At 46.5% G+C, this 22,284-nt stretch overlaps 1 protein-coding gene across 5 annotated transcripts in view; it reads right to left on the reverse strand.

The window, feature by feature from the left end:
- Nucleotides 1–22,284, reverse strand: part of CACNA1A (calcium voltage-gated channel subunit alpha1 A) — a 300,038-nt gene that overhangs the window by 249,443 nt on the left and 28,311 nt on the right. The window lies entirely within an intron of this gene.

The following is a 22,284-nucleotide window of genomic DNA, read 5'->3' on the forward strand; positions in this document are numbered from 1 at the left end:
AAAAGAGATAAATTAAAAATAGATAGAGGCTGCGGTGGGTGGATCACTTGCGGTCAGGACTTTGAGACCAGCCTGGCCAACATGGTGAAACCCTGTCTCTACTAAAAATACAAAAATTAGCCAGGCGTGGTGGTACACACCTGTAGTCCCAGCTACTTGGGAGGCCGGGGCAGGAGAATCGCTTGAACCTGGGAGGTGGAGGTTGCAGTGAGCCGAGATCATGCCACTGCACTCTAGCCTGGGCAACAGAGCAAGACTCCATCTCAAAAATAAATAAAATAATAAATAAATAAGTAAATAAATAAATAAAACATTATGATCAGATTTGACACCTAATGCATGATCCACAGAAGAAAAAACAGATATGCTGGGCTTTATCAAAATTTAAACCTTTTGTGCATCAAAGGACGTTATCAAGAAAGTTAAAAGGCAAGTAACAGAATAGGAGAAGCTATTTGCAAATCATGTATCTGATAAGGGTCTAGTACTATATAAAGAACATTTACGGCCAGGTGTGGTGGCTCACGCCTGTAATCCCAGAACTTTGGGAGGCCAAGGCGGGTGGATCATGAGGTCAGGAGATCGAGACCATCCTGGCTAACACGGTGAAACCCTATCTCTACTAAAAAAATACAAAAAATTAGCCGGGCGTGGTAGCGGGCATCTGTAGTCCCAGCTACTCGGGAGGCTGAGGCAGGAGAATGGCGTGAACCTGGGAGGCGGAGCTTGCAGTGAGCCAAGATCGTGCCACTGCACTCCAGCCTGGGCGACAGAGCGAGACTCTGTCTCAAAAAAATAAAAAATAAAGAGAGAACATTTACAACACAACAACAAAAAGATAATCCAATTGAAAAATGGACAGGAGGCTGGAATAGACATTTCTCCAAAGAAGACAGTCAAATGGCCAATATGTACATGAGGGTATTAGTGATCAGGGAAGTGCAAATCAAACCCCAACGGGATACTGCTTCACATCCACTAGGATAGCTATTAAAAACAAACAAACAAACAGAAAACAAGTGTTGGTGAAGATGTGAAGAAATTGAAACCCTCATGCTGGTGGGAATATAAAATGGTGTAGCTGGCCAGATGCGGTGGCTCATGCCTGTAATCCCAGCACTTTGGGAGGCCGAGGTAGGAGGATTACTTGAGCACAGGAGTCCGAGACCAGCCTAGGCAACAAACTGAGACTCTATCTCTACAAAAAATATGAAAAATTAGCCGGGCATAGTGGCGCAGGCCTGTAGTGCCAGCTACTTGGGAGGCTGAGGAGAGAGGATTGCTTGAGCCCCAGGAGGTTGAGGCTGCAGTGAACCATGACTGCACCACTGCACTCCAGCCTGGGCAATGGGAGTGAGACCCTGTCTCAAAACAACAACAACAAAAACAACAACAACAAAAAAACACCAGTGCAACTGCCATAGAAAACCATTCCTTGGTTCCTCAAAAAGTTAATCACAGAGTTACCATGTGACACACAGTAACTCCACTCCAAGGTATAAACACAAAAGGATCGTAAGACAGGTATTCCAACGAACACTCATACACAAATATTCACAGCAGCACTATTCACAACAGCCAAAAGATGGAAACAACCTAAATTTCACCAGTGGGTGAATGGATAAACAAAATGTGGTCTACTCATAGAATGGAATAGTATTCAGCCATAAAAAGGAATGAAGTAGGCCGGGTGCAGTGGCTCACGCCTGTAATCCCAGCACTTTGGAAGGCCGAGGCAGGCAGATCACCTGAGGTTGGGAGTTCAAGACCAGCATGACCAACATGGAGAAACCCCATCTCTACTAAAAAAAGTACAAAATTAGCTGGGTGTGGTGGCGCATGCCTGTAATCCCAGCTACTCAGGAGGCTGAGGCAGGAGGATTGCTTGAACCCGGGAGGCGGAGGTTGCAGTGAGCCAAGATTGTGCCATTGCACTCCAGCCTGGGCAACAAAAGCAAAACTCCGTTTCAAAAAAAAAAAAAAAAAAGGAATGAAGTACTGATACATGATAGAACAGGAATGAACCTTGAAAACATTATGCCAAGCGAAAGAAGCAGACATAAAATACCCCATATTGTATGATTCCATGTATATGAAATATCCCGAACAGGCAAATCCAGAGACAGACAGCAGATTTGTTGTTCCTGGGGAATGGCAAGGGAAATGGGAGTGGCTGCTTAATGTTTTAGAACTAGATGAAGGTGACAGTTACACAACATTGTGAGTGTACTAAACGCCTCTCCCCTCCCCTCTCCTTTCTTTTCTTATTTATTTTTACTTTTATTTTTTTAAAGAAACACAATTTTGCTCTGTCACCCAGGCTGGAGTGCAGTGGCATGATCATAGCTCACCGCAGCCTTGAATTCCTAGGCTCAAACGATCCTCCTGCCTCAGCCTCCTGAGTAGCTGGGACTACAGGTGCACAACACCATGTGTGCCTAATTTTTTTTTTGTAAGAGACAGAGTCTTACTTTGTTGCCCAGGGTGGTCTTGAACTCCTGGGCGACCTTTCTTCCTCAGCCTCCCAAAGTGCGGGGATTACAGGCATGAGCCACTGTGCCCAGCCCTAAATGTCACTTTAAAATGGTTAATTGTGTTATATTAATTTTACCTCAATAAAAAAAAAATTACAGTGATCAGGGCAGACCTCTGAGAATCTGTTCTTCCAAGACCCGAGGCAGGGGAGGGGTCGTCCAGTAAGTATCTCTAGATGCCCCATTTGCATTCTCTCCAGTTTGCATAGGTAAACTCCTCCCTGCATCCTGGGAACTGTCATTTGGGTTTAGGAGGCCTCCCTCCCTAGTGTCCCACCAGAGGATCTGCAGGGCAGGTGGGGAGGGTCTATCTTGTTCATTTCATATTAGCTCCTAACCTGCTGATCAGCTGGTAAATGGGAATGTCCGCTGTCTCCCTGCCACACCCCTCAGAAGTGTCCCACGCCAACAGGCTCTGCATATGGATCTGGCAATCTCTGAGGAGGTGTAAGCGCTGGAGAAGCGGCTGCTTGAGTGAAAAAGCCATAGGGTGTTGGTTACTCCGGAGCAGGATTTCCCAACCTCAGCACTAGGTTTAGGGGTGGATCATTCTCCTTGGTGGGGCTGTCTGGGCACTGCAGCATGTTCAACAGTATCCCTGGCCTGTGTGTGCTAGATGCCAGTAGCAGCCCCTCCTGTCCAGTGATGACAACCTCAAGTGGTCTCTAAACATTGCTGAGTGTCCCCTGGGGGCACTGAAATCCCGCATTCTGTAGAGAGATCAATTAGTATGTCTTGGGGAACTTGACCATGCTAAACCTCTCCCCTCCTCGTAGCTCTAACCTTTGGAAAATTAATTGGTTTCAGTCTCCTCTTCTGCCCTGGAGTTAGGTTTGGCATTTTGGAAGCACCATAAAACCATCCCTTCCAGGCCGGAGGGAGAGTGGAACCTGCTTTCCAGGTGGGAAAACGGAGTCTGAAATAGAAACCCCCTCAGTAAAAGTCTCGGAAAGCCAGGAAAACCAGGCTTCCTTTTGTCACCAGCTTCAGCCTTTGCCTCCAGCTGAAAGCACACTCTGAAAAGCAAAATCCGAGACTCAGGGCAATTTGGGGAGCCAACAAAAGCCGGCCTTGCCGACGATCATCTCTGATTGGCTTTCTGCCTCTGAGCTGACAGGCATTAGGAGCCCAGAGAACAAAGCTGGGCTGTGTTGCACAAATACTCCACTCTGCCTCACCCTGCAGCCTGGAAAATAAGAGACAATATTTGTACACAGAGCAGCAACGCCAAGCCCTTCCCTGGTCTCCTCTCGCTATGATTTGAAGCTGACTTCGCTTTCTCTCCCTGCCAACTCAGCCTCCTTACACGCGCTTCTGCCATCCCACTCCTCCGGTTCCCTGGTCTCCTGCCCCTCAATGGCAGGGATGTGACTTCCTTTGGACCGGCTCTGGCACTGAAGGTTCCAGGAAGAGTCCCAGAAGTCCACCATGCAGCATGCAGCACTTTTATGGGCTGCAATATCAGGGTTTCAACTGGCCAGTGTTGCCTGGATTTCAGACCCAGGGCTCTCTGGGTATGGCAATAAAACCTTAGCACGTAGGCAAAAATAAAGAGGTTCTACTCTCCCACCTTGCTTCATTTTCTTACTTCTTATCAAACACAGATACTCACACTGCTTTTCCAACATCATCCCCCCTCCCTCTGCTCACCCGCACCCCCGCAAGTGTCCACAGACATGCCCCAGATGGACATCTGCAACAATGACCTCAGACCCTTGCTACTCAAAGTGTGGTCCCAGAACCAGCACCGGTTAGGAATGCAGCCTTAGACCTTGCATCCACCTGCTGAGTCAGAACCTGCATTTAAAAAGATCGCCAGGGGATTTGTGTGCACCGGGAAGTTTAGGAAGTGCTAAGTGCCTCTATTTCAGGGATAGGAGGAGGAGCTCAGGTAATTGCGGTTTTGAGTCATCCAGAAAGAGGTGGGGGTTCCTGTTTCTCCTCCAAGCTTTCTCCTCCACGTTCTGACCCCAGGGGGAGAACTGAACAGCCCTGGGTACCAGCCTTCTGCTCCCACTTGGGTAAAGAGCCTGAGAAGAAACCGAAGATTTTGATGAAATAAAAGCAATGTTGGAATGCGACAAAAGCAGAAAAGAAAATTTCAGCCTAATGCATGTGGAAGTATTCAAAGCCTTCCCATGGATCCCATCTCACTCAAAAGCAAAAACAAAGTCCTTCCAGCACCAGCAAGGTGCATGACCTGCTCCCATTACCTCCCTCCCCTCATCTCCTCTATTCTCTCCCTTAGTCACTCAGCTACAGCAACGCCGGCCTCCCTTTTATTCCCCAAACTCCCCAGGCACATTTGTACCCAGGGGCCTTTGTACCTGCTGTTCATTCTCCTGGAATAGTCTTTCCCCAGACATCCACATGACTCCCTCCCTCACTTCCTTTAGGCCTTTACTCAAAGGTCACATCCATCAACCCCCTTAGCCTGCTTATTTTTTTCTTTCTTTAGTCCCCGTCCCCAGTCAAGCATCTGCTATTTTTTTCCTTCTTTATCTTGTTCCCTGTCTCTCCCACGAGACTGCACACTCTATGCACGTGGGGATTTTTTGTCTACTTTGTTCACTGCTTCATCCTCTGTGCCCAGGAGAGCATTCTCTATATAGTAGATGCTCAAAAAACACCAGTGGAAGGGCCTGGTGCGGTGGCTCACACCTGTAATCCCAGCACTTTGGGAGGCCGAGGCGGGTGGATCACCAGAGGTCAGGAGTTCGAGACCAGCCTGGCCAACATGGTGAAACCCCGTCTCTACTAAAAATACAAAAATTAGCTGGGCATAGTGGCAGACGCCTGTAATCTCAGCTACTTGGGAGGCTGAGGCAGGAGAATCACCTGAACCCGGGAAGCAGAGTTTGCAGTGAGCCGAGATAACGCCACTGCACTCCAGCCTGGACAACAGAACGAGACTCCGTCTCAAAAACAAAACAAAACAAAACAAAACAAAACAAAACAAAACAAAAATCACCGGTGGAGGAAATGAAGGAAGGGGACATGGGTCCTGCTGCCTAGAAACCCCGACTTCATCTCAAGCCAAGTCTCCATGAGCATGTTAAGGACACAATGAAACCCCCTGAAATATGCAATGATGTACTTGGTGCCCAGATGAAAGAAAGATGGGCTGCTGAGTTCTTGGCATGGTAAGAGATGCCTCGCCCGAGGCAGAAGCCAAAGGTTTCACTGGGTAGTCGAGCTGGGGGGCAGGCGAGGCTTTCTCAGCCCAACCTCAAGTCATGCCTGATCCTCCCGATTTAGAAAGCCTGAGTTCTAACTCACAGCTGCGGTGAGCAATGCCTCTGTTAGCTGAGCTGAGCCTTTCTGCTCCCTGATTGGCTCGGAGAGAAAGCACCTGTGTCAGCGGGATCCAGAAAAATCAGCCATCCTAGGAGGCCAAAGCGGGGCGGGGGCTGAAAGAAGAGAAGCATCCCTGATGGGAGGAAAAGCTGGCTTCCGAAATGGCTCTCGGAAGTCAGGATAGCAGACAGCCCTGCAGGCAGGTGAGGAGACACAGAGCTCTATACACAATGAAATTGATCAGGACCTGCAGAGGCCCCAGAGAGAGGCTGTATGTGACCCTGGAAAAGACCAAGTTTGACTCTGCGTAGGGAAGAAGGAGGGCTTGCATCTGAGAACAGGACCTTGCTCTTCAGATTCAGAACATGAAGGAAAATTCTCAAAGTGGGCGTGGCTGATGGTTCCCATCCCTTAGCAAGACCTTGCAGTGTCCAAGTAATCCTTGCATCCCTCTGTGGTGCCCTTCACCCTCATCTCATTTCAAGCCTCCTGTGGTTGGTGCGGAAATCAAATCAGGTTTGTCAACTCTTTGTGACCTTGTCTCCACTATGGGGACTGCTGATGGGTGGGTTCTAAGGAAACAGATACTTGTAGCAGTTAGCCAGGTCATTGAGCTTGTGTGAAGAAGCCAAACAGACCTCATTTTCATGTAAGTTCCATGCTCATCACAATCACCAGGAAAAAGAGTAGAGGGTACCAGAACCCTAGATATATGGGTTTAAGACATATTCCTTGGTCCATTAAACACATACCCCAATTTCACTCTGCAATATGATCAACTATTATGGGGCCATTAACAAGCACAGCGACCATAATTACAGCTGCCTTGTTTCCAACTGCTTCTTTGGGCAGATACCGTGGTAAGCACTTTGTTTCAGTTAATTCCTTGCAACATTTCTACAAGGTGGGTTCTGTGGTAAGCCTCATTTTCCACACAAGAAAATCCAGGCTCAGAGAGATTAAACAAATTTTCAAGGTCACATAGGAGGTACTGGCAGAGCTGGGGCTCACACCCAGGTCTGCCCAACTCCACAGTCTATGCCTTTTTTTGTTTGTTTGTTTGAGTTAGGGTCTTGCTCTGTTGCCCAGGGTGAAATACAGTGGCACGATCACAGCTCACTGTAGCCTTGACCTCCCAGGCTCAAGCGATCCACCCACTTCAGCCTCCTGAGTAGCTGGGACTATAGGTGCATGCCAACACACCTGGCTAACTTTTAACATTTTTGTAGAGATGAGGGTCTCACCATGTTGCCTAGGCTGGTCTTGAACTCCTGGGCTCAAGCGATCCTCTCACCTTGGCCTTTCAAAGTGCTGGGATTACAGGTATGAGCCACTGTGCCCAGCCCACAGTCTATGCTTTTAAGCTGGTGGTCCCCAAAGACCACTCAGGAGCTATCCTGGTTAGAAGATAGATGGGTTTGCCTTTATTTAAAAAAAAAAAAAAATAGAATGCAGGTGCACTTGGGGCCCTAACCATATGGATTAGACCAAATGGGTTACACCTCACCCAAGTCCCAACCAATGGCCACAGTTTAGTAAAGGCCAACCATTGCATGCTAGTCCACGCCCTCATAAGCCCATCTCAAGTAGGAATTATTCATGACTATTTCAACTTCAAACAATCCAAACAGTCTCCAGTTCCCAGACATGGGCTTTAAAATCTTCAACACACAGTTCTAACCAAAATGAAGCCTGGAAAAGATCTCTCCACTCGCTGATCAGCCTAAGACTCTTAGCAGGGATGGCATGCTAACAAGGGCAACCCTAGCGCTGCCCGGGATGTTTTCAGCACCACGGCCAGCGGCAAAGAGGCACAAGTTTAATTTCACTTGCACCCAGGGATGGGAATCCCCGGGGAGAGAAAACAAAACCAGCAGCAACTATTAACACTCTCTGAGACATCTGCAAAGACCTACATTTCACATACAGGGTAGAGGCAAAAAAGATTAATCATGTCATCAGGAAAATCAAATGAAGAGAAAATTAAAAACAGTATCAAATAGGTTTGTGTGTCATTTGTTTTTCATATTATCCAACAATGTCCAACACTTTGGTTCTGAAATGAGAAGTCTACTCAGGGCTGCTAAATCATGCTTCTGCTTAGAAAACTGGCAATATCTGCACTAAAAAATAGTAGTGCAGAGGAGTTGAAAGGATTTGGGGATCAGACGTGGCCTTGACCTTGGGCAAGGCAGTTTCCTTCTCTGAGCCTCAGTTTCCTCATATATAAAAGGTAGAAAATAGCATCAACCTCATAGGTTGTGTGAGAATGGAATGAGCTGATACACACAATAATCTATTACAGGGCCCTGCATATAGTAAGTGCTCAAGGAATGTGAGTGTTTTATATTGTTTATTTTGGTTCCCATGATGACTAGAAAATTTAATGTGGGCCAAATGCAGAGGTAGATGCCTATCATCTCAGCCCTTTGGGAGGCCAAGGCAGAGGATCGCTTGAGGCCAGGAGTTTGAGGACAGCCTGGGCGACACAGCAAGATCCTGTCTCTACAAAAATACATTTAAAAATAAGAAAACTAGCCAGGCATGTTGGCACATGCCTGTAGTCCTAGCTACTCGAGAGACTGAGGCAAGAAGATTGCTTGAACCTGGGAATTTGAGGCTGCATTGAGCTATGATCATACCATGGCACTCCAGTCTGGGCAACAGAGCAAGACCCTATCTCTTAAAATAAATAAATACATACATTTTTTTAAAAAAGAAAACTTAATATGCTTATAAAAACAGGATACAATTTATCTCATTGTAATCATGCAATAAATGTTCATTACTTTATGACAATTGCTGCTAATAGTAAATAACTTTTCCAATTTTTTTTTTTTTTTTTTTTTTAGAGACCGAGTCTTGCTCTTTCGCCCAGGCCAGACTGCAGTGGTGCTATCTCGGCTCACTGCAAGCTCCGCCTCCCAGGTTCACGCCATTCTCCTGCCTCAGCCTCCCGAGTAGCTGGGATTACAGGCGCCTGCCACCGCGCCCGGCTAATTTTTAGTATTTTTAGTAGAGACGGGGTTTCACCGTGTTAGCCAGGGTGGTCTCGATCTCCTGACCTTGTGATCTGCCCACCTTGGCCTCCCAAAGTGCTGGGATTACAGGCGTGAGCCACTGCGCCCGGCCAACTTTTCCTATTTTTGCCCTTCTAGGTCTTGGTTCCTTTTCTTTTCTTTCCTTTTCTTTTGGTTTCTTTTCTTTTCTCTTCTCTTCTCTTTTCTTTTTGAGACAGAGTCTTGCTCTGCCACCCAGGCTGGAGTGCAATGGTGCAATCTCGGTTGACTGCAGCCTCCACCTCCTGGGTGCGAGCAATTCTCCTGCCTCAGCCTCCCGAGTAGCTGGGACTACAGGCGTGCAGCACCATACCTGGCTAATTTTTTGTATTTTTTAGTAGAGACATGGTTTCACCATGTTGGCCAGGCTAGTCTTGAACTCCTGACCTCAAGTGATCTGCCCACCTCAGCCTCCCAAAGTACTGGGATTACAGGCATGAGCCACCGCGTCCAGCCTTAGTTCCTTTTCTTCAAGGAGGGAGGGAAGGGACAATACCTACCGTCATCATAGCTGAACAGACCTCTCAAATCTGAAATGTTTCCAAGAACATACTGCAGTGCATGCATATGTGTGGTCCACTCACTGAATATTATACTCAAAATAAATGTTGCCAAAAAAAATCTTCATTGGACATTTCATGTAAATGGAATTAAACACGATGTTGCCTTTTGTGTCTGGCTTCTTTCACTCAGCATCAACTTTTTTGTTTTGTTTTGTTTTGTTTTTTGAGATAGGGTCTCACTCTGTTGCCTAGGCTGGAGTGCAGTGGTATGATCATGGCTCACTGCAGCCTCGGCCTCCTGGGCTCAATCGATCCTCTCGCCTCAGTCTCCTGAATAGCTGGGACTACAGGCACATGTCACCACACCTGGCTAGTTTTTTGTAAATTGTTTTGTAGAGATGGAGTTTTGCTATGTTACCCAGGGTGGTCTTGAACACCTGGGCTCAAGCGATCCGCCCACCTCAGCCTCCCAAAGTTCTGGGATTACAGGTGTAAGCCACTGTGTCCAGCCACATCATATTTTTGAGGTTCATCTATGTTGTAGCAAAGATTAGTATTTCATTCCTTTTTAAGGCAGACTAATATCTGAGGAAGGCATATCACACTTGGTTTATCTGTTCATCCATGGATGGACTTTTGGGATATCTCATCCTGTTGACTACCTAGAATAGGTAAATCCATAGAGACAGAATGCAGATGGGTGGTTGCCAGAGGCTGGAGGAAGGTGGTGGGGAGGGGAGAAGGAGAGAGACTGCTTAATGGGTACAAGGTCTCCTTTAGGGGTGGTGAAAATGTTCTGGAGCTAGACAGAGGTGGTAGTTACATAACAGTTGGAGTGCAGTAAATGCCACAGAGCCGTTCACTTTAAAATGGTTAATTTTCTGTTATGCAAATTGCACCTGATTTTTTTTAAATTCCATTTTGGTTTTGCTTTTTTTTTTTTCTTTCCCCTTGACTCTCTCCTCAGGGTTCCCATCATGGGCCTTTACTCATTGCACTTTACCCTGGGCGACACAGTGAGGCTCTGTCCTTTTTTTTTTTTTTTCCTTTTCTTTTTTTTTAAGACGGAGTCTTGCACCTAACCTGGGTCAGCACCCAGGCTGGAGTGCATGGAGTGCAGTGGCACGATCTTGGCTCACTGCAGCCTCCATTTCCTGGGTTCAAGCTATTCTCGTGCCTCAGCCTCCCTGGTAGCTGGGACTGCAGGCACCCACCACCATACCTGGCTAATTTTTGCATTTTTAGTAGAGTTGGGGTTTCACCATGTTGGCCAGACTGGTCTCGAACTCCTGACCTCAAGTGATCTGCCCACCTCAACCTCCCAAAGTGCTGGGATTACAGGCGTGAGCCACCATGCCCATCCGAGACTCTGTCTTTTAAAATACTGCTGCTGCTGCTGCTACTTTCTTCAATAATAATAATAATAATCATCATCATCATCATCTGACCACGCATCCTTGTGCACTTGTGAGAATTTTTCTGCAGAATAAATTCCGTGATGTGAAATTGCTGATTTTTTTTCCTCTGAGCCCTCAACCATTTAGAGAAGCATGATATGGACGGTTTTCAAGAGTCCTTCCCTCTCTCTTTTAAATTTCCATTATTTATTTATTTATTTATTTATTTATTTATTTATTTGTAGAGATGGGTCTCGCTATGTTGCCCAGGCTAGTCTCAAACTCCTGGGCTCAAGCTATCCTCCTGCCTCCCCACCTCCCAAAACACTGGGATTACAGGCGTGAGCCACTGCATCCAGCTACAGGGAAGTTAATGTTTTAATAAAAGCTGGAGGAGGCAAGGGAATGAGCCCTGTTTCTGTCTGGGAGAAGAGTAACCCAGGAGGGGAAGCAGCCAGTACAAAGAATGTGTGTGGGAAAAAATTTGAAAGACAAACACGAAATTGCTAGCAGAGGTTATCTCTGGGAGGTGGGATGGGGTAAGGGCTTTTCACCTTCTAAATGACACACTACACATTTTTTAAGCTTTTAAAAAACCACACAAAACAACAAGCCCATATTCTTTTCATAATTAAAACCTTTTTTTAAAAAAAGGGGGATGCCAGGCATGGTGGCTCACACCTGTAATCCCAGCTACTGGGGAGGCTGAGGCACGAGGATCACTCGAGCCCAGAAGGTCAAGGCTGCAGTGAGCTGTGATCACTTCACTGCACTCCAGCCTGGGTGACACAGTGAGACCCTATCTTTTAAAATGATAATAATAACTATCTCACCATACATCCTTGTGCACTTGTGATAATTTTCCTGCAGCATAAATTCCAAGATGTGAAGTTGCTGGATGTCAGAGGGGATGCACACTGACTTTTTCTTTTCTTTTTTTTTTTTTGTGAGACAGAGTCTCAGTCTGTCGCCCAGGCTGGGGCGCAGTGGGGTGATCTCGGCTCACTGCAGCCTCTGCCTCCTGGGTTCAAGTGATTCTCCTGTCTCATCCTCCCGAGTAGCTGGGATTACAGGCACCTGCCACCATGCCCAGCTAATTTTTTTATTTTTAGTGAGGATAGGGTTTCACCACGTTGGCCAGGCTAGTCTCGAACTCCTGACCTCAGGTGATCCACCCACCTCGGCCTCCCAAAGTGCTGAGATTACAGGCATGAGCCACCATACCCGGCCCACATTAGATATTTTCTGGATATTTACAGGGCTATATTTTACAGTTTTTAAAAAGTGAGATGAGTGAGTGTGTGTGTGTGTGTGTGTATGTACCTTCTGAAATTAAATCCATAATTTAAATGTATAAATTCCTCTGGGCCAAAAAGTTTAAACATGGAAGAATTAACATGACTCATGGAAAACACACAAATACACAAAAGTAAAATAAAGATCCCTTGATGAAAACAGAAAGAAAAAACAAAACAACAAGCCAAGTTTTAAACAAAAAGTATTAATCAATTTCAGACTCTCGGGGTCGGGAAGAGAGTGAGGAGTGAGGATGCTTCAGTGTCAGATTCCAAACAAGAACTGAAGACCTTCTCCCTGTTTATCTTTTTTTCTAGGTCAGTAAAGTTCTCTAGGGACCTCTGAGTGGTGTGAGGTCTCTGTCTCCTGATTCAATTTTCAACCACTTTCCCTTATATGTTCACTCTACCAAGGGGGAATCCTTTTCCTCTCTGGCAATAGTGACATCCCTGTTCAGTGGTCAGTAAAATCCTCCATTTCCCTGGTCTCTCTCTACACAGTCCATCTACTTCATGGTTTAAACTTAAACCTGGAGGTCAGGCGCAGTGGCTCACACCTGTAATCCCAGCACTTTGGGAGGCCAAGGTGGCCGGATCACTTCAGATCAGGAGTTTGAGACCAGCTTGGTCAACATGGTGAAACCCTGTCTCCACTAAAAATACAAAAGTTAGCTGGGCATGGTGGTGCGTGCTTGTAATCCCAGCTACTTAGGAGGCTGAGGCAGGAAAACTGTTTGAACCCAGGAGGCGGAGGCTGCAGTGAGCCAAGATCGTGCCGCTGCACTCCAACCTGGGTGACAGAGCAAGACTCTGTCTCAAAATTAAACAAACAAATAAAAAACCTTTAACCTGGAAATTCCCTGCAGACCATCAACTCTAAGACCAAGGTGGGGCCACTGGCAGCCTCAAATTAGTTCCTAAGAACAAAAGGAAAGCTCAGCTCTGGAATATGTCCACCATCATGGCCCCCAGAAAAACCAGTGAGAAGGGCCCCAAGAAAGCAAGAGAATCAAAGAAAGACCTTCCCAACTCAGATAAGGTGGAAAAGGTGCCCCCAAGAAGTCAGGTGAGGTGAGGAGGGCTCCCTCAAAAGCAGGTGTAGCCAAGAAGGCCCCCAAGAAAGTCAGCAAAGCCAAGGAAGTCTTCCTTAAACCAGCCAATGCCATGAAGGTCCCTCCCAGTGCTGCTGGGCTCAATGGGAAGTCCAAAGTCAGAGGTAGCACCAGCAGCCAAGATCCTGAGATCCACAGGAAAACAGAAGCTGGGAGCTAAGACTCCGACGGAACCTGTTAACATTTGATGACCTCCAATTTCCCTGTGGAGAGACCATTGTCCATGCTGGTCCCCTGCTTCCTTGATCACTGGAGGATGTCCCTACCTCTTCATCAATAACCAATGTCTCCTCCAAGCCACTCCAGCTATGCATGCTCAGAAGCTACACCAGCCACCTCCAAAACACCTGTTTCCAGCATCCTTGTCTTGAACCACCTCTTTTTTTTTTTTTTTTTTTTTTTTTTTTGAGACGGAGTCTCGCCCTGTCGCCCAGGCTGGAGTACAGCAGCTCCGCCTCCCGGGTTCACGCCATTCTCCTGCCTCAGGCTCCTGAGTAGCTGGGACTACAGGCGCCCGCCACCACGCCTGGCTAATTTTTTTTTTTTTTTTTGTATTTTTAGTAGAGACAGGGTTTCACCGTGTTAGCCAGGATGGTCTCGATCGCCTGACCTTGTGATCCGCCCGCCTCGGCTCCCCAAAGTGCTGCGATTACAGGTGTGGGCCACCGCGCCCGGCTGAACCACCTCCTCTTTAACCACCTCCCAGCTCACTAACTCCCTTAAATGCAAACCAACGTCCATCCCATCGAGCCCTGCAACCCACTGACCCCGCCATTTCTCAGGACCCTCTCCTGCCTTGTCAACCTTACATAGGTTGATTATATCGCACTTTCTTGCCTCCTGTTTCTCTCCTGGAAAAAATCCATCCCTGCATGAACTCAACTAGTTGCCTTCCCCATACCTGGGCAGTGGAGCATTCCTGAATGAGATCAACTATCTGGGCTGGTGACATTAAATTCATGATGCTAAACTCAAATGGGCATTTGAGAATCCCAGCATCCTATATCAGAGAAGACACCCGTGCATATTGGTATAATGGATGGGAATGACCCAATTTACAGAAATCAATATTCTTCCATCATTAAAACCTCCACCCTTGACTGAAAATTTTCCTTCAGCCACCAACCAATTTCTCTACTCCCCTTCATGAAGAGTTGCCTTCACGTGTTCCTGCCACTTCCTCACTGCACATTCTTCTCCTACCCTCCCCAGGCTGGTTTCTAGCCCCCATCACTCAACCAAAACTCTTCCAAAGAGGATCACCAAAGACCCCCAGGCTGCCAAATCCCAGGGCCATTTTTCTGTGCCCAGATTACTTGACCATGCCCTTCTTAATGTTGTTCTAGTTTTCCTCCTATCCTCCTGGTCTCTACTTCTCAATCTTCCCTTTTTGCTCCTCTTTTTCTATCCAATCTCTAAATGTTGGTCTTCCCTGGGGCTTAATCCTAGGTAATCACCCTTTATCTATCTCTATCCTCTTTCTAGAGCTTGCATGCATTTCGATGTATTTTGCCATTCTCTTGTTGCCCTTTCTCCCTAAAATATCCACTCATTGCCCTGTTTGGCATCCTGGTAGAGGCAGGGCTGACTTCTGTGACTGCATCATCCAAGCCCTGCAACGCTGCCCTCCACCACATCTTCTGCCTTCTGGGTTGGCTTGGCCAACGGGAGGCACCAGCAAGAGATCAGAGAGGAGGGGGAGTTGGGGCATTTCTCCATTTGATTTCCTCCCTGCTACAGTGTGTGGTCTTAGCAATAGCTATACCACTCTGTGTCTTCTTAGAGCATCTCATAGGAGTGTCTATATTAGTCTCCTAGGGCAGTCATGACAAATTGCCACAGATTGGGTGGCTTAAAACAACAGAAATTTATTCTCTCGTCATCCTGGAGGCAAGGTTCTGAAATTAGGGGGTTTCCCTTCAAAGGCTCTAGGGGAGGATCCTTCCTTGCCTCTTCCCGCTTTTGGTGCCTCTACATGTCTTTTGGCTTGTGGCTGCAGCACTCCATTCTCTGCTTCTATTGCCACATGACTTTCTCCCCTGTACCTTCTCATATAAAAGCACTTACCATGGAATCTCGAGTCCACTGTAATCCAGGATGACCTCATCTCAATCCCTGACTCAATGACATCTGCAAAGATCCTACTTTCAAATGAGGTCTCAGGTTCTGAAGTTCCAAATGCATCTGAATTTTTGGTGGACAGGATTCAAACCACTACAGTGTCCAAGGCCCAAACTCTTCCATTCCCTCCCTAATCCCATGTCTCTTTCTCTATTAACCTTTGTTATGAATTGTACCACCAGCTGCCTAGTAAGGAGCTCAATCAGGTAAGGTTACCCTAAGAGACCTTCCCAGTTCCTACATCTTCCTCCCCCTACAGCTGATGTATCATCAGACCCCACCAATTCTACTTCCGAAATTAGACTTTGAATCCTCCTGCTCAGCATTGCCTCTTCAGCACCACCCAAGGTCAAGCCACTGTCCCTTCCCACAGAAATATCTATAATCTCAGTAGACTCCAAAGTGGTCTATCCATTTCATTCTCCAGAGAGAAGCCAGGGCATTATGCTAAGTGAAAGAAGCCAGACACGAAAGGTCACACAGTGCCTGAATTCATTTATATGAAAGAGCCAGTATAGGTAAATCCATAGAAACAGAAAACAAATTTGTAGTTACCAGGAGTGGTGGGGGTTGGGGGGATACCGGGAGGGGAGGATGAGGAGCAACTGCCTCATGGATACAGGGTTTTCTGGAGGGGTGGTGATGAAAATATTTCAGCACTAGAAAGAGGTGGAGGTTGTACAATATTGTGAATGCGCTGAATGCCACTGAATTGCTCATTTTAAAATGGTTAACTTATGTTGCATGAATTTCACCTCAATACAAAAATTATTTTATTGAGACAGGATCTCACTCTGTTGCTCAAGCTAGAGTGCAGGGGCACAATCACGGCTTACTGGAGCCTCAACCTTTGGGGCTCCAGCAATCCTCCTACCTCAGCCTCCCGGGTAGCTGGGACTACAGGTGCACACTATCACACCCAGCTAATTTTTAATTTTTATTTTTATTTGTAGTGATGGGGTCTCCCTATGTTGCCCAGGCTGGTCTTGAACTCCTGGGCTCAAGTGATCCTCCCACCTCAGCCTCCCAAAGTGCTAGGATCACAGGTGTGAGCCACCATGCCCAGCTAAAAAATATATAGACAGGTAGATAGATATGTATATATGTATACATATATATGCTTTATATATGTAATATTATATGTTTGTATATATGTATATATATTTAAAGTAAAGCAGTTCTGTCCCATCCCACTTAAGCTTCTCTGAGGACTTCTCATTGCATGTAGAATAAAGTTCACCTCCGGAACTTGACCTAGAAGGTCTTGTGTGACCTGTCTCTGCCAACTTCTTGGGTGTCTTCCCACCTGTGAGTCCCTTTGCTCATCAGACTCTAGCTACACTGGCTCATTTTTAACATGATGAACTTGTTCCTTCCCCAGGGCCTTTGCACATGCTGTTCCCTCTGCCTGGGATTCTCTTCCTCCCTCTGTCTCATTCTGTTCACACTCTGCTCTGTGCTTAACAACCTTCAGGTCTTCACTTACGTGGTACCCCTGTACTTCTAATTATCCTCTACGCAAAGGGCCTGTAGTAGGTTACTTATTTTATTTTATTTTTCAGAGATGGGGCCTTGCTCTGTCACCCAGCCTAAAGTGCAGTGGTGCAATCATACCCATGCTTTAGCCTCTGGAGCCTCTGGCCATGACCTTATTTAGTAAAACGGCCTCTGCAAGTATAATTAAATTAGAGATCTCAAGATGAGATTGTCCTGGATTATCTGACGGGCTCAAAATCCATCGACAAAGATCCTTATAAGAGACAGAAGAGGCCAGGTGCAGTGGCTCACACCTGTAATCCCAGCACTTCGGGAGGCTGAGGAGGGAGGATCACTTGAGCCCAGAAGTTCAAGACCAGTCTGGGCAATATAGTGAGATCCCATCTCTATCAAAAATTTAAAAATTAGCTGAGTATGGTGGTGCACGCCTGTAAGTCCCAGCTGCTCAGGAGGCTGAGGTGGGAGGATTGTTTGATGCTGGGAAGCAGCAGTTGCAGTGAGCTATAATTGCACTGCTGTACTCTTGTACAGGGTGACAGAGTGAGGCCCTGACAAAAAAAAAAAAAAGAGAGAGAGAGAAGAGGAAGAGAAGACACTGACATGAAGGAGAAGGCCATGTGAAGACAGAGGCAGAGACTGCAGTGATGCAGCCACAAGCCAATCAAGCCAATGTATGCTAACAACTACCAGAAACTGGAAGAATCAAGGAAGCATTCTTCTCTAGAGCCGTCCAAGGGAGCTCAGCACTGCTGATGCCTTGATTTTGGTCTTCCAGCCTTCAGAACTGGGTGACAATATATTTATGTTGTTTTAAGCCATATAGTTCATGGCAATTTGTCCTGGCAGCCCTAGGAAACAAACACAGGACCCTGCTGGTTTTCTCCCAAACACTTACCACAATTAGTAATTATGTCTGTATTTGCCTATTCCTTATTTTATGCCTTCTTTTCCTGTTACAAGTTCCAGGAGGGCCAGGAGGAACCACATCTGTCCTGCCCACTGTCATGTCCCCACCATGTACATCCCAGTTCCAGGCACATGGCAGGCTCCCCCCCACCCCCCTGCCTCCCAAAATGTTTATTGAATGAGCAAATGGATCCACCTCTCCTTCATTTCTCTTTACATCTCAGCGGCAGTCCTTCTTGCATCTTCCACCTTCACTTCTAACTCTGAGCTGTTGCATTAGCAACTCCAGTTAAACAGATTTTCTGGAAAGCCCCGGCCTCCCAATGAAACCTCCCTCACTTGCTCCCCACTGCACTTCCCCAAATATTTGGGTCTGCCTCGCCTTTTCCATCACTGGTTCTGCCATCCATGAAGATTCTCCTTGAAGCTTTATCATTAAAAAATAAACCCACATATTCTGTGTCTCCAAAAGAAGCTTTTACTTTTGCAAACTCTATTGATTTAATCCTAGAGGCTGCTGGCAGCAGTCCCAGGAGCTTAATCAATATGACAACACCCAGCGCAGACAGAACATCAAGGAGCCTCGGCCAAGATCTCCTGCTCGGGTCTTCACTGACCCCGACTGAATCTCTTACAACCATGAAGACAGATTTACAGTAGGGGGCAGGATATTTGCAACAGCTCCAGGATCTTGCTTAGGTGAGCAAAAGGAAATGCCTCCAAGCTTGAGGCGCTTCAGAGCTATTTGTTAATTTGCGACTATGGCCGATTCCCATAAGACTCAAGGAAGATGGAAGACAACAACAGAAAAACATTGCAGGTTCTAGAACCTGATTATAAACTCCCTGGTGGGGTGAGCAGGGGAGGAACAGGCAAAGGGGAGGTGGGAAAAAGAAGATGAAGATGTCAAGAGTTAAAAATGCAAAGAGTTTGCCAGGTGTGGTGGCTTACGCCTGTAATCCCAGCACTTTGGGAGGCCAAGGCGGGCGGATCACAAGGTCAGGAGTTCGAGACCAGCCTGGCCAATATGGTGAAACCCCGTCTCTACTAAAAATACAAAAATTAGCCGGGAGTGGTGGCAGACACCTGTAGTCCCAGCTACTTGGGATGCTGAGGCAGGAGAATCACTTGAACCCAGGAGGCAGAGGTTGCAGTGAGCCAACATCACACCACTGCACTCCAGCCTGGGCAACAGAGGGAGACTCCGTCTCAAAAAAAAAAAAAATGCAATGAGTTAAAACAGACATTCCTTCACCCCTTAGCAGACACTAAGTGACCAGAGAAGGAGAAAAAAAGGTCATAGAAACAAGGAGGTTGAGAATGACTAAATCAATGCCCCAGGCTTTAGAAACCATTAATCTCCTCGAAGGAGAAGTCAAACACTTCTCACATTTTATTCAAGATTGAAAAACAGGAAAATTAGAAGCACTATAGGAAGAAATTGGAAAGCAAGAAATATTTGTTAATCAGAAGTTTACATGCATGTGACATTTCCAAACCTATTGAGCCCTTATAGGAAAATATGAATATCCATCCCTAAAACATACATCAACATAATCTTCCTGGAGACACTGTGATTAGATATCAGCCCCAAAATGCAGATAATGAGGTATACAGTCAGCCTAGTCTATGTCCTGCTGCAGTAACAAACAATCCCCAGATCTCAGTGGTTGAACACACCCCAGGTCTATTTTTCTACTCATGCTATGAAGTGGGATGGGGACTGATCTATGTCATCCTCTCTCCAGCACTTACTTTGAGAGAGGGTCCATCTTTGTGCATCCATGACAGTGGAGGCAGGAAAAAGGAAACATGGTGAATCCCATGCTCACCCTTAAGGCTTCTGTCCGGAAGGACTCACGTCACTTCCCCTCACATTTCATTGATGAAACCAAATCACACAGCCATACCTAACTTCAGGGAGGTGGGGAAAATGACACTCTACTCTGTGCCCAGAGAAAAACAAGAAATGTTAGCTGAACAAGGTAAAGGATACCCCCTCAGGAAGATCATATGACTTGCCCAAAGTAAAGCAGCTTTGAAGGTGTCAGAAGTGGGACCTGAATTCAAGACTAAATGGTCCATGTCTTTTTGCACTATCACCCTGAACTTGGCAGGAGTTGAGAATTAAATCTAGATAGCAGTGAAGAGAAACATCAATGGAGGCAGGGGGCAGAAGGAACAAGGGAAAATAATACATCAAGTAAGGGAGAAATAAAAGGAGCCAGAAAATTACAACCAGAACATAATTAAAGGAGTTTCATCTTTAGAAACCAAAACACATTGTGAAAAGTAGGGAAAAAGTGGGGGAGTTTTACACTCTTTTCAGGGAGAGGCAAACAGTAACGGGATAGTGCAGGGGTTTATATGAGGCTATATAAGGAGGCGGGGACACAACCATGAAAGAAACTTGTACACTTCTTGTTCTTCCTCTGAAGCTGCCATCTTGGCTCAGACTGAAGGTCCAACAAATGCTAGTTGGTGCAACAGCAGCTCAGGAAGCTGGGGCCAGGGCTTACCAGGACTTCCATCAGCTGCACTGTTCCTCCCTGGACATTTTCCTGCTCAGTTCTGGGAAATCTGGACAAGAGTTGGATGATGTTCCAGAACAGATGGTGCTAGCTTGGTTCTTCTGATCATTCCTCCCCTATCCCTAACCCAAGCCAGACTGGAAGTAAGAAGGGATCCTGGTTCTGCCACCCTCCCGGCCAGCAGGTGAGAATTCTACACAGCCAGGTAGGTCAGTTTAGCACTAGAGCAGGGATTCTGGAAGGACTCACCATCATTGCCAACTCATCATCACCATTTCAGTTTTGAGCACCTATGATATGCCACCTGAGTACTTTCTGTGCATGAATGCATTGAGCCCTCACCACCTGTCTGCCTAGAAATCCTACTGGTCAACTTTCAACTTATATCCAGAATTAGTAGTTTCCAGAAGCTGGGGGAAGGGAGAAACTGGAAGTAACTACTAATGGGTGCAGGGTTTCCTTTAGGGGGGATGAAATGTTCTGAGATTAAATAGAGGTGACTGTTGCATAACAGGGTGACTGTAGTAAGTGCTGTGGAATTGCACACCTCAAAGTGGTAAATTTCATTTTATCACAATAAAAAAATTCATTTTATCACAATAAAAAAACTTAAAAATTATAACCAGAATCCAGCCACTCATTATTATCTCCACAGACAACAACCTGGTTCCACCCCCACTATTACCTGCCAGGACCAACACTGTCACCTCCTTCCTAATTCCCCAGCTTCTGCCCTGCCTGCCCCCAACCTTCAAAGTCTGTTCTTTTCACAGCAGCCAGAGGAGCCTATGAATATCTGAGTCAGGTCACGTCCCTCCTCTGCTCAAAAGCCCTCCGTGGCTCCCAGCTCCCTCAGAGCAAAAGCCAAAGTCCTCCCCGCAGCCCATAAGGCCCTCCAAAACCTGTCCCGTCACCTCTCTGTCCTTATCCTTGCACCTTCCCTCTCTCTTGCTCACTGGCTTCAGCCACATCTGCCTCCTCACTGTCACACATGTCACATATACCCCTACCTCAGGGCCTTTGCACCAGCTGTTCCTTCTTTCTCTAGACATCCTCACAGCTTCCTCAAGTCTTGGCTCCAATGCCATCGCCTCGATAAAGCTCTATCTAATACAGCAACTGCCTCCCCAGCCCTTTCTCTGCTGTTCTCTTCCCATTACCCTTATAATCTTCTAAAGTACTATGCAACTTACCTACTATTTTTGTTTCTTATCATACATCTCTCCCCATGAGCATGTAAGCTCCCAGAGGGCAGGGACTTTTGTCTGCTTCCTGTGTCTTGAAGAGTGCCTTGGCCACCATGTATACTCCTTCAGTGTTTGCTAAACAAATGCACAGCCCCATGAGGCAAGGACTGTTTTGCCCATTTTATGGAGGAGGAAAACTGAGACTCATAATCAGGTATGCAGCAGCAAACTGTCTGAATTCACAGCCCAAACTCAACACAGCGATCGTTCCTTATTATTATTCACACAGCAAAGATGGACCAGGCAGTGTTCTAAGGGCTGGGGATGCAACAGAAGACAAAATAGATAAAGCTGAGCCCTCATGGAGGTGATGCTGTATCTGGTTCAGTTGTTTCCTGCCCAAACTCTCATCCACTCTCACTTTTGGCTCTGACAGTGGCCTCTGAGTAACACAGTGTGACATGCCTTCAACTATGATCTGAATGTTCTATAGAAGCCGCCTTTCCATTATGCAACTGTGGTGGCTTTTCTTTTGTTATACGACGATTATTTGTCAACCCCACTATCTTTGCACTCAACCATGGGCCCCCTGGGCTCAGAGACCTCGTGACAGTCATCTTCTCATCACCACATCTGCAAATGTGTGGGTGGATGGGGCAGCAACAGTCCACCTCCTCCAAGAAGCAGTCCCTGATTTTTCCTCCCCAGACAAATCTTCGTCTCTCTGTTCTTGGAAACTCAAAGAACTAAGCACCTCCCTCGAGCTGCTGTGCAAATGTGTGTGTTGTGTTTTATTTGGTTCTTCCGTATTTTCACTCTGGAAGTCGACAGTTCTGGCCAGAATG

This window comes from Homo sapiens, chromosome 19, assembly GCF_000001405.40.
Source record: "Homo sapiens chromosome 19, GRCh38.p14 Primary Assembly".
Classification (NCBI taxonomy): domain Eukaryota; kingdom Metazoa; phylum Chordata; class Mammalia; order Primates; family Hominidae; genus Homo; species Homo sapiens.